This window comes from Homo sapiens, chromosome 7 (genome assembly GCF_000001405.40).
Source record: "Homo sapiens chromosome 7, GRCh38.p14 Primary Assembly".
In the NCBI taxonomy this organism is placed as follows: Eukaryota; Metazoa; Chordata; class Mammalia; order Primates; family Hominidae; genus Homo; species Homo sapiens.
The window spans coordinates 43,508,315-43,523,049 of record NC_000007.14 but is presented as its reverse complement, the minus strand read 5'-3'; the positions used below and the strand labels follow the sequence as shown (position 1 = coordinate 43,523,049).

Sequence of the window (14,735 nt, the reverse complement as noted above, 5' to 3'; positions counted from 1 at the left end):
CCTGGGGGACAAGAGCGAAATTCCATCTCAAAACAAACAAACAAACAAACAAGCAGAACTACCTTTGGAAAGAGAACACACAGTACAAAGAGTAGGCGGAAGTGCCAGCAATAACATCCCCACCACGGAGCTGTTTTTGGAATAAATATTAGGGAAGCAGAGTTTTGATTCTCTGCAGCTCCCTGTCCTCCTGGCACAATCAAATTTCCCTGCTCCTGGCTTTTATACCAAGGCCAGCATTGCTGTCATTCCCTGTGCTCCGTGCACATTCTTGTGGGCTGAGTTCAGGGTTTGGCCACAGGCTAGTCTCCTGTCTCCACAGCTAATAGGGGGTTTGGTGTAGGCCCTGGCATCCCCACCAGTGGTTTGCTTTGTAATTTTTCCCTCTTGGCCTGTGGGAGGACTGAGGCATGGTGTCTAGAACTCCTGCGCAGCTGCAGGCCTGCTTGGAGGGTGAGGTGGCTGTTGTGGGGCAGGTGAGAGCACGCCAGGGCCATAGCTAACCTCCAGCCTTCATGAAGAGCCCATGGCAACTCTGTGGGAATCCTTCCAGCAGCCCGCTTATGGCTGGAGACAGAGGTGTGGCTTCTATCTAAGCTTTTCCCTCTGACTCAGTCCAGGAGGCAACTGTCTTGGGAAGCAAATGATAACAGCATCTGGGAGATTCTCTTCTGGATGGACTAGCAGGGAATCAGGACATGAACTCAGTGGACTAACTGCACCGAGACTCACCTGGTCATTACTTGAAGGTCATTACTTAAAGTAAGTTCTTCAGTTGCCAACATTTGAAAACTAAAGTGTGTGGTTCAGTTATGCTGGTCCAATAATCAGAGAAGTCTAATATGTGAGTGTCTTAGTTCATTCCTGTGGCTATAACAAAATACCATGGCTTGAGTAATTTATAAATAATAGAAATTTATTTCTCACAGCTCTGAAGGCTGAGAAATCCAAGATCAAGGTGCCAAAAGATTCAGGGTCTGGTAAGGCCTTGTTCTCTGCTTCTAAGATGGACACCTTGCGGTATCCTCAAATGGCAGAATGGGAAGAGCAAAAGGGACTAGGCCACTCCCTTCAACCTCTTTTATAGGGGGACTGATCCCATTCACAAAGGTGGAGCCCTCATGACTTAATCACTTTCCCAAACGCCTCACTTCTTTTTCTGTTGTTGTTTATTTTTGAGATGGAGTTTTGCTTTTGTTGCTCAGGCTGGAGTGCAATGCAATTAGGCTCACTGCAACCTCTGCCTCCCAGGTTCAAGCGATTCTCCTGCCTTAGCCTTCCTGAGTAGCTGGGATTACAGACATGTGCCACCACGCCTGGCTAATTTTTGTATTTTTAGTAGAGATGGGGTTTCACCATGTTGTCAGACTGGTCTTGAACTCCTGACTTCAGGTGATCCACCCGCCTTGGCCTCCCAAAGTGCTGGGATTACAGGCATGACTTTCCTTGCCCAGCCAAGGTCTGACTTCTTAATACCATCACCTTGGGGGTTAAGTTTCAACCTATGAATTTTGGAAAAACACATATATTCAACCCGCAGCCATGACGTATTCCAAGGCTGAAAATGTTTTCCTAAAACTCTAGGCCTACAGAAATACTTTTAATCCTGCAAAAATTTTGCTTAACCTTTTCTTTTTCCAGTCTTCCATCATGAAAACAGTGATTCTCAACAGAGTGATTTTGCCTCCTAGGAGAATTGTGGCAATGTCTGGAAACATTTTTGGTTGTGACAGCTGGGGGTGATCGTGGTGGTGCTACTGTACCTAGTGGGCAAACTCACTCTCTCAAGGCCTTTTATAAGGGCCTTACTCCCATTCATGACTCTGCCCTCATCGTTTAATCACTTCTTAAAGGCCCCACCTCTTAATATCATCACGTTGGTGATTAAGTTTCAACATATGAATTCTGAGAGACGCATCCGTCAAACCACATCAGGCACTCTTATGTCCTTTTGGTGAACTAGGAGGCTGAGACTCAGATAGGTTAAGAAAGCTGCCCAGGTTCTACTGAGAGTTGGAGCAGGCATGAAACCTGGGTTTGCCTTTTGCTGTGTGGCACCTGCCTCAGGACCTGAAGGGTGCTGCCTCCATGCCAGAAACCACGCTGGCTGCAGAGGGCAAACCTGAACAATAAGATGTTGCCCTGATCCAGTTTAAAAGCTAACACAAAGTGGCCAGGGAGGGATGGAAGGAGAGACGCAGACAGTAGATTAGAGCAGTGCTTTCTCAAGCTATTTTGCACAGAAGCATAGAGATGGGGAGGAGGAAGAGCCTGAGGGGCTCAGTGAACCAGGCACCCCTCCTTGCCAGAGGCAAGGCTTCACTTTCGTCTGTTCTAGATTGGAGAACAAGGTTCCAGCTAAAAGGGTTTGGAAACCTTTGTGTTTTTTTTAAAAAAAACCTTAAAGTAGAATAATAATAATAAAAAAATAATTCAAGAGAAGATGAACATATTTGTCTTGAGAAGGTGCAGGAAATCATGAAGAAATCATGAATGAACTACACAGTATTTTAAGTGGATTTTCAGGGTAGGAAATTTGCGCCCATGTAAATGAGAGAAGAAGAACAGAAGAAACAATCGCGCACATATGGGCAGCAGAGCAAAGCCTAAGGAAGCGTGGGGAGGGCAGAGGAGGAGCTGCCCGGGAGAGGCAGATGGTGTCTCAAGGCAGGTGGTCCTCGTGCTTTGGCTGTCCTGAGAATCCGAGGAGTCCAGACTCCATTTCGTAGACAGTAGGGAATTAGTAAAGAGGTCTGTGCTGAGTAAAGGGGGGATAAATGGAAAAAGAGATAAAGAAGGGAAGAGACCCAGGGTAGGGTGAGCATAGTTGTACCATATACATGAGGCATTCACAATATGCCAGGAGCTCATGTGTAGAACAGTTTGTAGAACCCAGCATCAAGTCCTTAGGTGATAAGAATAGTGCATTGATGAATGCATATCTAAGACATTTGTTTACCACTAATAATTAAGCTAAGACATTTTTACCAAATGGCATCTTGGCTGTAAGAGATTTATTTATTTTTTACCCACAGATGTAATTTTTATATAGACTTTGGCTTCTCCTGGCATGGCTGGCTCCTGTTACCTCGGCTCATCTCCTGTGACACATATTGATAATCTAAAATGTGCCCTTCCATATTTTTTATCTGAATCATATAATCACATACTAATATATTTATATTTACATATCTCTAGCTACATACACACAGGCTTGGGGTTACTATTTTTCAGTTTTTGAATTGCGTTTTTCATGCTTTTCTGCTTTTCTTCTCTCAACAATATCTTGAGGAAATCTTTCTCTATCACCTGGTAAGGTTCTAATTCAGTCTTTTTTATGCCTCATATGACTGTGCAGTGTGGATCTGCTGTAATACATTTAACCATTCCCCTGCCGATGGACATTTGCATTGCTTCTAGGTTTGTGTCTTTACAAACAATGCTGAAATAAACACACCTGGGTGTTTTGTGCGGCAGTCCAGCATAGCTTTTAAAAGTCTGCACTAGGCCAGGCGCGGTGGCTCACGCCTGTAATCCCAGCACTTTGGGAGGCCGAGACGGGCCAATCATGAAGTCAGGAGTTTGAGACCAGCCTGGCCAAAATAGTGAAACCCCGTCTCTACTAAAAATACAAAAATTAGCCGGGTGTGATAGTGGGCGCCTGTAGTCCCAGCTACTCAGGAGGCTGAGGCAGGAGAATCGCTTGAACCAGGAAGGTGGAGGTTGCAGTGAGCCAAGATCGTGCCATTGCACTCCAGCCTGGTGACAGAGCAAGACTCTGTCTAAAAAAAAAAAAAGTCTGCACTCTAGAGTCAGACTGCATGTGATTGCTCCCTACCTCTGTCACTTACTAGCTCTTGTATTGGGCAAGTTTAAACCTCTATGGGTATGAGTTTCCTCATTTGTAAAATAGAGGATTATACTAGGTTATGTAATTCATGTTGAGCCTTTGCAAAAATACCTGGCCCATAATAAGGGCTCAATAAATATTACCTGTTATTACAAAAGTACTGAATATTAGTGCTTTTGTTTCTATGAGATAACTTTATGGGCTAAAGGGTATAGGGGTTTTAAAAATTTTAGTTTATATTGTGGATTGCATTCCCCCCTGAAAGGCTATAAAATTGCTTTCATGCATGTTTCTACCAACAATGCATGAAAGCATCCTTTTACTTATGTCCCCTCCAAAAATAAATAACTCTTCAATTTTTGGCAATTTGATCGTTATAAGGTGATATATCATTGTTACCTTAGTTTTCATTTCCTTCACCACTGGAAAAGTTGACATTTTTTAATGGGTTTATCAATCATTTGAATTTGTTCTTCTCTGACCAACTTTTTCATATTCTTTACCAGTTTTCCCAGGGTTGTATCTCCTCTTTTTTTCAAGTTGCAAGAGCTCTTTGAAATTTGTATTACAGATTTTCAACCTCTGATTTTCTTGAGTTGCAAAGATTAATTTTCAAGATCAAAGCTTGTCTTTTGACCTTGTTTATGGTATTTTTGTCAGAAAGTATTTTAACTTTTATATATTCAAATACGTTTTTTTTTTTTGAGATGGTGTCTCACTCTGTTGCCCAGGCTGGAGTGCAGTGGCGCAATCCAGGCCCACTGCAACCTTTGCTACCTGGGTTCAAGCAATTCTCCTGCCTCAGCCTCCTGAGTAGCTGGGATTACAGGCATGTGCCACTAGGCCTGGTTAATTTTTGTATTTTTTAGTAGAGATGGGGTTTCACCATGTTGGCCAGGATGGTCTCAAACTCCTGACCTCAAGTGATCCACCCGCCTTGGCCTCCTAAAGTGTTGGAATTAGAGGTGTGAGCCACTGTGCCCGGCCTTTCTTTTCTTTTATAGATTCTAGTTGTTGATTAAAAAGATTGTCTCTAAAAAGGTCTCTACCACTCAAGGTTTCTTGAGTTCATTTTATGTTCTCAATAATTTTTATGTTCTAGCATATGCATAAATTCACCTAGATTTTCCTGAAGAAATTTCATTCCTTTTTTTCACGTATTTTCAAAGTAGAGAGGAATCTAACATAATTTTCTTTTGGTTGCATACCCAGTTACAGTACTGGCATCATTAACTAAATAGTTAATTCTTTTCCTACTGGAAGTTTCTCACACATTCTGAAGAAAGCTGGGTTCAGAAATAGGACAGGCAGAATCCCAACCAATCCCGTACATTCTATGGTGACTTCTCATCTAACTTTTGCTCCACATCTTCTTTGAGAATTGATAGGGAGGCTACTGAGATTCAGCCAGAGATGGGGTCAGCAAAGCTCTTGTAGGTGTTCGTGAAAGAACCCAGGGGCTGTTGTTAGGGGTAGGGCTGGGGCTGGGGCTTACCTGATCTTAAACTCAGATCAAAAGTCCACACTGAGCTCTTTTGTCAGGAGGGCCCTGGGAGGTTGAAGGGCCATGAGACACCCAGTGGGATCTCATAATGTTGTGGTTTCTACCTACTAATTCAAGACTCTGCAGATGTAGCAAGGGATATTTAAAATGTGTTATCCGGGACTTCTTAAGTTCCATAAAACTCTACAATTACACTTAATACCCACTTACCCACTTGGCCAAACTCTAAACATGCACAAAAGAGCTTCCCTCCTCCCCCACTTCCCCTTGCTAAAGACCTGAAAACAGAAGATTTTTACCACCCAGGTAGTATCTGCTTGGGAAGGGAGAGAGGTCGGGGCTGGGGCAGAAGGGGGCAGGGGAGTCTGTTTATTTTGCAGTTAGCAAAGGGCCTTGGGATCCTCTTGGAAATTTTGGTTTGAGAGGTGGTAAAATGTCTGATTGTGACAACTGTAAGGTTAGATTCGTCACCACCACAGACATAAATGAGCTCACAGACATTTTGGTGGCTGCAGAGAAACTGATTAACAGCATCAAATCTGAAATCTGGCCCTGAAAATCCTTCTCACACTGACAATTATGTAAAGAGTGACTCATAACGTAGTCGTTTCTTAAAATGATACATGTTAGCACAAGCATAGGCCACATAACCACATTTCAGTTAATGACAGACCACATATACAACGGCGGTCTCAAAAGATTATAACGGAGCTGCCCTATACAGGTGTACCATTTCTTATCTTCTATACAATAATTTTACTGTACTTTTTCTATGTTTAGCTATGTTGAGATACACAAATACTTGCTATTGTGTTACAGTTGCCTAAGGTATTCAGTACAGTAACATGTTGTGCAGGTTTGTTGCCCAGGAGCAATAGGCTATAGCATAGAGCATAGGTGTGAGGTAGGCTCTGCCATCTAGGTTTGTGTAATTCCACTCTATGATGTTCACGCAATGATAAAATTGCTTAGTGATGCATTTCTCAGAGGTATCCCTGTCGTTAACTGACACATGACTGTACTTAAGACAAAGAAAATGTGTCTGAGGCGCTGGTATTCTTCCTAGGAATAGAGAAGGAACTCACCTATTTCAGTTGTTCAGACTTTTAGGGCATCTCAGATTTGCTCCAGGAAAAGTGACATTCAGAATGATTGGGACAAAAAGAATTTCCAGTGGTGATTTCAGAGAGAATAGTTGGTAGGAGCTTAAATGACACTCAACAATGAGTGAGAGGCTCCAAATTTACTTATTTATTTTTACTGTTTTTATTTATTTTATTTTAGTTTAAATATTCTGAACTAAAAATTGAAATGAGATAAAAATTCTCATTAACCAAGAAGTTTTACCTGAGAAGTATTCCATCCGTCCATCCATCCTTCCACTCAACCATCCGTCTATCTGTCCAGCCTGTCTTCTTCCCTCCCTCCTTTCTTTTTTTCCTTCCTTCCTTCCACACATATTTACTGAGCGCCAAGTATGTGACTAGGAAAGCTACAGCCAAGACTCTGGTCTCACTGGGCTTACATTTTCGGGAAGAAACGACAACGAATTATAAACATATTAATACTTTTTATAGTGATAAATTCAGTCAATATATTAAAGTAAGATGTTAAGTTGGAAAATTATAAATGGATGCACTATTTTAAATTGAGTGCTCAGGAAAGACCCTTAGAGAAGGGAATGTTTGAACTTAAATGTGAATCTTTCCTATATAAACATAATAGTTTGAAACTATATGCATTTGCAATATTCATGCATTGTATTAGACATAAAAATAAATTTGGACCTTTCACAATTCATTTATAGTTTTGTTTTTTATGCCTCCATTCAAAATATGCGAGCATTTTAACTTGGTAGTTTCTTATATATAATTTTGCAGCAAGTAAGTGAAGAGTTTCCAATGACACAAAGTTTTGGTAAATATTAAAAATGTTGAAATAACATATCTCACAGCATCTGGGAGTGTGCTACTATAATCTGGCTAATTCAGATTATAAAGAAGTATCATTTAAAATAGAGGGTACTACATAAAGAAGGAATGGTAGGTTGATTTTTAAAAAGGTGTCTTTGCACTGATAAGTATTTGGTAGAATTTTAGGTGCTCACCAGTGTCATTTCAAGCTATTTAGCCTGTCATATACTTAACTTCCCACCATTTATAATCTATCACCAAGTTTTGTTCATTCATTTGTTCATGCTCCTTCTGAAAAATCTTTCCATTTCTACTGCTTCTGCCCTATTTTGATTCTTTAATATCTCTTCCTACAACTATTTCACTAGCCTCTTAAATGACACCCCTATTGCCCACTCCAGTTCATCTTCCACTTGTAACCAGAGTTGACTTTCTGAGTTTAATAAAGATCTGATCAGGCTCTTCCTTTACTAATGAAATGCCTGGCTCCCTGTCATTGTCATCTTCATGACAAAACCCAAACGCCTGGGAATGCCATCAAATGCTTTTCCCTACCCGACACCAGGATGCCTTTCCAGCCTCTTTCTCTCTTCTGAGGCCACACCAAACTGACATCTGCTGTGAATGCTGGGCCCTCCATCTAGAATTCCCCACTCCTCTTCTCTGCCAGCCAATTATTCTCATTCATTTTTCCAAAGTTCCTTGTACCTCATTATTACAATACAATGTGATAAGCACTATAATAGAGGTATGCACAGCATTGGTCACATTGTATTTTAATTTGACCAATTATATATCTGACTTTGCCTTTGAATGGGGGCTAGATCCTGATGATAGAGCCATGATACCTGGGTTCCTATTCCTACCTGGTCCTCGACTATCTCTGTGGCTTTGTTTATGTCTGCACCTCATTTTCCTCATCTGTAAAAGTAGGATAACTCAGTATGTGGGTTATAATGTTGTAATAATAACATTATATCTGGGTTATAATGTTGTTAGACAGTGCCTGGTATATTTAGCATGTTCTCAATGGATCCTTCATTATTTAGCTTAATTATTAAATTATGTATCCCTAAAGATAGAAAATCAGGATACAATAAATATGAAAAGGATAAAAAAGTAGCATATGAGTGCCTCATCAATATGCAAATGACATCATCATAATCAAAGAATGAAGATATGAAATGTGGAATAGGCTGGGCACGTTGGCTCACGCCTGTAATCCCAGCACTTTGGGAGGCCAAGGAGGATGGATCACCTGAGGTCAGGAGTTTGAGACCAGCCTGTCCAACATGGTGAAACCCCGTCTCTACTAAAAATACAAAAATTAGCTGGGCGTGGTGGCATGTGCCTGTAATCCCAGCTACTTGGGAGGCTGAGGCAGGAGACTTGCTTGAACCAGGAGGTGGAGGTTGCAGTGAGCAAAGATTGCACTCAGCCTGGGGGACAAGAGCGAAATTCCATCTCAAAAAAAAAAAAAAGAAAAGAAAAGAAAAAAGAAATTTGGAATAGTATTCCAAGACTTCTGTCATCAAAGACACAACAGACACATACTGTTCTGTAAATTATAAGATTTCTGGTGGATGGGTTGAATGTCCTGAAATGTAGAGGCTCTTGTGGTAATTTTCCATTCCCTGCTCTCCTGTCCTCCACTAATTTCCCATCTTTTTCTGTCCTGCTCTGTGACTTAGGGACTGGCCACTGTGGGTTGCAGTATCTGGAGAGCCTCTGTCCTCTGGTTCATGGTTGGGTTTGGCCATTGGGACTGGAGGGTGGAAGAAGAGTGTTGATTGAGAGTGTTATTTCCCTGCTTTGCCCTGCTGTGGCCAGGTCTCGCAGGGGCTGTGTCCTTGAGTGACCACAGTGTCCATGGGTGGTCCCTTATAGGCTCCAGCTTTGAAAGAGCTCTTCTGACTCTAACTCCTCTTTCTCTTTGGCCTGAATATTATCACTGCTGACTTTGACATGGTCCTTTCAGTTTGGAAGTCAGTCGTACAAATAAGTAATGAAACAGCAATTGCAGAAAGTCTCTTTAGGTCAAAGGCAACAAAACAAAACAAAAATCAAAAATCCTGACCAAAAGCAAAAAACAAAAAAAAACCAAAACCCACAAACAGTTTTTTTTTCCAGCTTACTTAACGTGTGTAACACAGAATTTTCACTATATTTATTCATATTCGTATGTCTCAACACTGCACGAGAAAGAAAGGAAGTGGGTGGAATCATGATGCCCTGCTAGGGCTTTTGATTAAGCTGGCTCTATTCCAATGGATACAAAGCCCACACACAGGGAGCAGGAAGCCCAGAATGTCAAGTACCCACTCTCAAAGGGGAGCTTTCAGAGGAAGGACACACTGTCAGGGGTTTCTCCATTGATGTCTTTGGGCAGTGCCTTGCCTGGAAGTGGCCGCTGCAGGACCACGTGCAGTGTGAGAAGAAGGAGGAGGCCTTCCTTCAGTAACAAGCAGCATTCACGCGTCGTGGAGAGCAGAGTCCCAGAGTGTAAAGATCTTAAGGGACATGTGCATTTATCACTGACTTTGCAAGGGCTTTAAAACCACAGATAATACAGAAAAGTGTGAAATTTGAGCAATTAATTGCACATGGCAGGAGGGAGCACTTTATTAATCTTAACCCTGGTAGAAGGAAGAGACTGGTAGGACTTGTGGAATAATACTCATTTATGCACCCAGTGGTCGGGGAGATGTTCTGAACACCTGAAAGTGCCAGGTGTTGTGCTAGAGTGAAATAAGACAAAAGTGTCTCTGCTCCAATAGAGCTTATTTTTTAGAGGGAACTCAGAAAATGTGTAAGAGGATGGGACGCAGAAGAAGGTCAGCGAAGGATAAAGAAGCAGAATAACAACAACAAAAAAAGATAAAATTGACCACTGCAAAGTTGCTGCCTCCAGCCACAGCTGAGTACCGTGTCAATCCTGAGTGATGTTTAATCCTTTGAAGCCTTATAATGGATTTTTGCTAGGCATTAAAAAAATATAATCATGTAAGAGCAGCTGTGTTGAAACATTCATATAAACTCTACTCAGTGCATTTGGTTTCTCAGTTATTCCTCCATAGCAAACCAATCGGTATTAAATGTGTGTATGTTAAGCAGTAATAATTCTTCCAGTTAAAGGAAAACTCTAGTCCTTTCACTATTTCACTAGCCTACAAGCAACTGACTTTTAAATTCATCTAATTTTTATTAATGATTATGATAACATATAAAATTATGCTCAGCAGTACAAAATAGATCCATTTAGCTCATCAGCGTTTTACACATTTATAAATTTTATAAAATATGAATACCAATTTCACAGCATTTTCTGATAATGCCTCACTAGAGAATAAAATTTCTATTTTTGGAAAAAACCAACAACAACTTTTGAAGCTGACCTGGTTTGCCATGTTTATTTCGGGTCTGTGGTTATGCTTATCTCTGATTCCAGAGTGAAGGGAGGTGGGCAGGGCGTGGGTGTCCATTAAGGCACCTCTGTCCTTCCTGCAGGCCAAATCCTGCCCTGGCTTGTCCTGTGTCAAGGGACAATGTCCTGCTTTACAAAGTCAAGGCTGTGCCCATAGAAAGCCTTGTAATCTTTTGGTTTCTCCGTTTCCTTATGAGTGATGCACAGGCTCTGATGATTGTCATCCTCTTCACAGCCTCCATGAATCTCCTGATGAACTCCCTCAGAAGGTGGAAGGAGCACCTGACACCGACCCGAGATCAGCAGCAGCTACGCCCACGCTGTGGGCAGTTAAGAGGCAGCCAGTGGTACCAGTCGTGAGCGATCAGATTTGAGGACTCAGGATTCTGGTTTCCTGAGTGTCATGGACCTGCGGGCTGCAGAAATGACAGCGACAGGTCTTCAGGCAGGTGCCACAGCACCCACACACTGCCAGCATTTTGTGCAAAATACCCAAAGCCACATCACCAGATCTGGGCTCTCCTAGCTTCCCTTTGCTAAAATGCTGGCCAAAGAGCTTAACGAGCCACTCAGGGGCACAAGATAGGTGAAACCTGCATGTTTTGTTTGTTAAACTATTTGCCACATGGCACAAGAAAATAACAAAAAATAAACAAAAGGAATAACTGCAGCATCATGGTTTTGTTAAGATGTCCCAAAGCTGATCAGGGCTTCCTGTTGAAATCTAAATGAGACTCTTCCTAGGTGGCTTACATTCAGTCAGCTGTGGCTCTGTGCAAAGAAAACCAGTTTCCCTTGCTCAGAAATTTGGAGCCACTGATAAGAGAAGAAAAGTGTGATTCCACATGGAGGGTCATGATACAATCTGATCTCTGACCCCGTGGAGGTGAAGGGGCTTGTTCTGCATGCCAGGCTGAGGACTCTCGGGACTGAGGCATTCAGAGTCGCAGCTTTAAATCATAAGGGTTCCCTGCCCATTTCATCACAAGTCAGCAGCATCCAAAGAGTGGCGTTGAAGAAAATCTCATCACCGTGGGCTCAGTTTAGATTGCTAGTCGGCTCAGAAAGCTACCTGCAATTGCGTTTCCAGGATGCACCACAAATACTCTCCACATGAGGGAGAACATCAGTGGATGAAACTCAGCATGCTTAGTGCGGGGCCAAGTCCTCTAACAAAGGACACAGCGGTTAACCTGCATTTCGAGGACAGGCACTGTCAAGCCCTCATCAGGGATCCATCCAGAGAACTTTGGTAATTCTTGCAAAATCCCTGTATCACACAATTTCCTTCCTTAATGTGATGAAGTGTAACGGACACATCTATAAAGCTTCTTCAGTCCTGCAATGCATAGATGAGCAGAAGGCCACAAAGCCAGGTTGGTTGCAGGGACGGGGCAGCAGGCAAGGCATGGTCACTGTGGAAAGTGACGGAGGCCACTTTTAACAGGTAGTCCAGCCAAGTGTGGGCCACAGTATCTTCTGTGCTTCCCATCAGGCCTTCACCTGTGGCCTTATTTTGTGGCTGCACTGAAACATGCTTGACACCAAGGTTTTCTTCAAACGTCAGCTTCCATTCATCCCACCGTGGTACTTGTCCCTGTTGTCCTATGCCACCGTCTCCTCTTTTTGAAAGATTCACAGACTCCACTCCCCACTCCCTGACCCCCTAACTTGGACAGAGTGCGATATTTTTCCCTTGTGATTGAATACAATTCTCAGGCTTATCTATGTATCTCAGGCAAACATATGCCCACATATGTATATGTGCGTATAAGTGAGCATTTAAGCTATTGTATTGTAATTGTTGGTTGGCTCATGTGTTCCTCACACTAGTCTCTTTGAGGCATGAGACCTTGCTCATTTTATGTTTGTATCCTCCCAGAACATACTATGTGCTTAATTTATAATTGTTAAATTAGCGAAGGTATTCCTGATGCTATCCAGCATAGTCTTATATGGTAAGATATTTGATGAAAATATTTCTCTGTTGATTGCTGATTCCAATTCATGATCTCTAAGACACCATCTTAAATTTCATGCTCACAAACTAAGAGCTAGTTGAGGGATTGTATTAGGTATAATCTGTGTATGTGTATATTCCTGTGTTACAGGTCATAGCACTCTCTACCATCAGAATGGAGCCTGCCTGAATGTGAGCTCAGTGAGAGGCAGATTCCATTCTTGGGCCCGTCCACGGTGACTTGTCTGCTCTGCTCCATCATCCACTTATTCACAAGTTCTGGGGCAACAAAGGGCACGTTTTGTTTCATCTTGTGCCAAACCCTCGATGTGTACTCACTCACTCTACCTCATCTCAAGAACTTCAGGGCTGGGAGTGCATTTGGAGAGAAGGCATGTGCAATATCTGGAAGCCTTAGCACAGGTGGGTTATACTGATGCTCTATAGCCAAACTATAGGAACTTGGGTTCTAAGGCCAGCAGGCCCAGGTGTCACCCCAATGGCTCCCTTCAACAGCAGCATAAATAAGTCATGTCAGAAGAACTCACATTAGCCATCTCCAGGACTCATTTCCCTCTCAACAGCAGGAGCTCCTGCAGTCAGAACAGCGGTAATTTTCAAATCAGGCATGTGGTGATGCAGCAGGAAAGTGCCTGCATCCCAGGTGTCCCAGCAGCTTTCTGGAGACCTCTAATACCCACATCTGCACCACAAAACTGCACAGCATTGAGTGATACCAATCTTCTTATACATATAGGTAAGTGGTAATAGAATGCCTCAACAGCAGACCACCCAGGAACCAAAGACATACTGGATTTTCAAGTCAGAAGAATGCTTAGAGATCATCTGACCCAATAGCCATATTTTACAGTAAGATGCAGAAGCCAGTGTCCACAGTGCTAAAGCCACTGGTCCAAGGTGAAAGAATTTCAAACCCATAAATACCTCCAAGAAGCTTCCACTGGGACCCTATGATTTTAGTAAAATTATCAACATTCATGACCTATGTCTACTGATCTTAGCGTCTTCTCAGTAGGCAATTATTCTTTCTCACATCAATTTGCAGTTGCTATATTATCAGCATCCTTGGTAAATCCATCTTGTGTTCTGGGTGAAGACTAACAGATTCTTCCTTCTTGGACTCTGTCATTCACTCTCATCCCTCATAACATCTGGCCACTGCTCTAAACACAGTGGCCTTTGAGAAATGCTGCTGAATTCTGACTAAGAAAGAGGAGAACTTTCAAATACAAGAAAGTGAACATTATAGAGCTTACCACTCAAGATGGTTTTCTACAAATGCGGACATGGGGCTGATCTGCACCGTGTAAGTATCATTTGCCGAGTACTCAAAGAGTCCATAGTAAGGGTTGAAGAGCTCCTGAGACAGAAGGAAGAAGAACTCCCGCGAGGGGCCACTGTAGTCCAGGCTGCAAAGAAAGCAGAGGTCCAGGAAGCTCATTCTGTGCCCGGAGGTGGGGGGACCTGTTTGCACCCAGATTCTAGTGTGCCCTTTCAGAGTTGGGTGCTGGGGAAAGCAGAGAGCAGCCTCTGCTCTTTGGAGTGAATGCCAATGGCAGCATCAATTTGCTGTAGAAAATGAGGATGCAGTAATTGGTTTGGAGATGTTTCTTAACCAGATGTCCATGAATAAACTCTTATGGCAGCTTTCCTTAGTGTTTTCTTTTGATCATCTAACACCTCTGAGCTAAAACACACAGCTGGCCCATTGAATACAAGGCCTTTGTTGTGGGACACATAAAAGAATTTCCTGCAACAGTGAATGTGTGCATGCATGTGTGTGTGTGTATGTGTATGTGGGTGGACTGAAAAGGCTTCCAAGTTCATTTTGATACGCCTTCCTACATGGGCTTGCCCTTCATGGTTGAGGTGGTTTCCCATGAAATCACTGAAATGATATGAAAAGTTTGGCATGAAGTTGTATACATGCACTTTAAGAGAAAGAGTTTTTTAAATTAGATACTCAGAGGGGTACACCACCTAAAAAGGAAAGATTCAGTGCCCTGGGACTGTATTGTTGGCATATCCTCTTGTGCATGTCAATAATCTTAGGTTTTTGAAGA

General features: G+C 42.4%; 1 protein-coding gene and 1 long non-coding RNA gene across 20 annotated transcripts in view; one reads left to right on the top strand and one right to left on the bottom strand.

The window, feature by feature from the left end:
- Nucleotides 1-14,735, bottom strand: part of HECW1 (HECT, C2 and WW domain containing E3 ubiquitin protein ligase 1) — a 453,355-nt gene that overhangs the window by 42,952 nt on the left and 395,668 nt on the right. For all 19 annotated transcript variants that reach the window (NM_015052.5, XM_017011883.3, NM_001287059.2 and 16 more), the window contains one exon: nucleotides 13,929-14,081. In NM_015052.5, the coding sequence (NP_055867.3) occupies nucleotides 13,929-14,081 (153 nt within the window). The remainder of the gene's footprint in view (nucleotides 1-13,928; nucleotides 14,082-14,735) is intronic.
- LUARIS (lncRNA upregulator of antiviral response interferon signaling) lies at nucleotides 508-14,322 on the top strand. Its single transcript, NR_038276.1, has 3 exons — nucleotides 508-762; nucleotides 10,927-12,067; nucleotides 12,803-14,322. It is a non-coding gene; the product is annotated as a lncRNA upregulator of antiviral response interferon signaling (long non-coding RNA).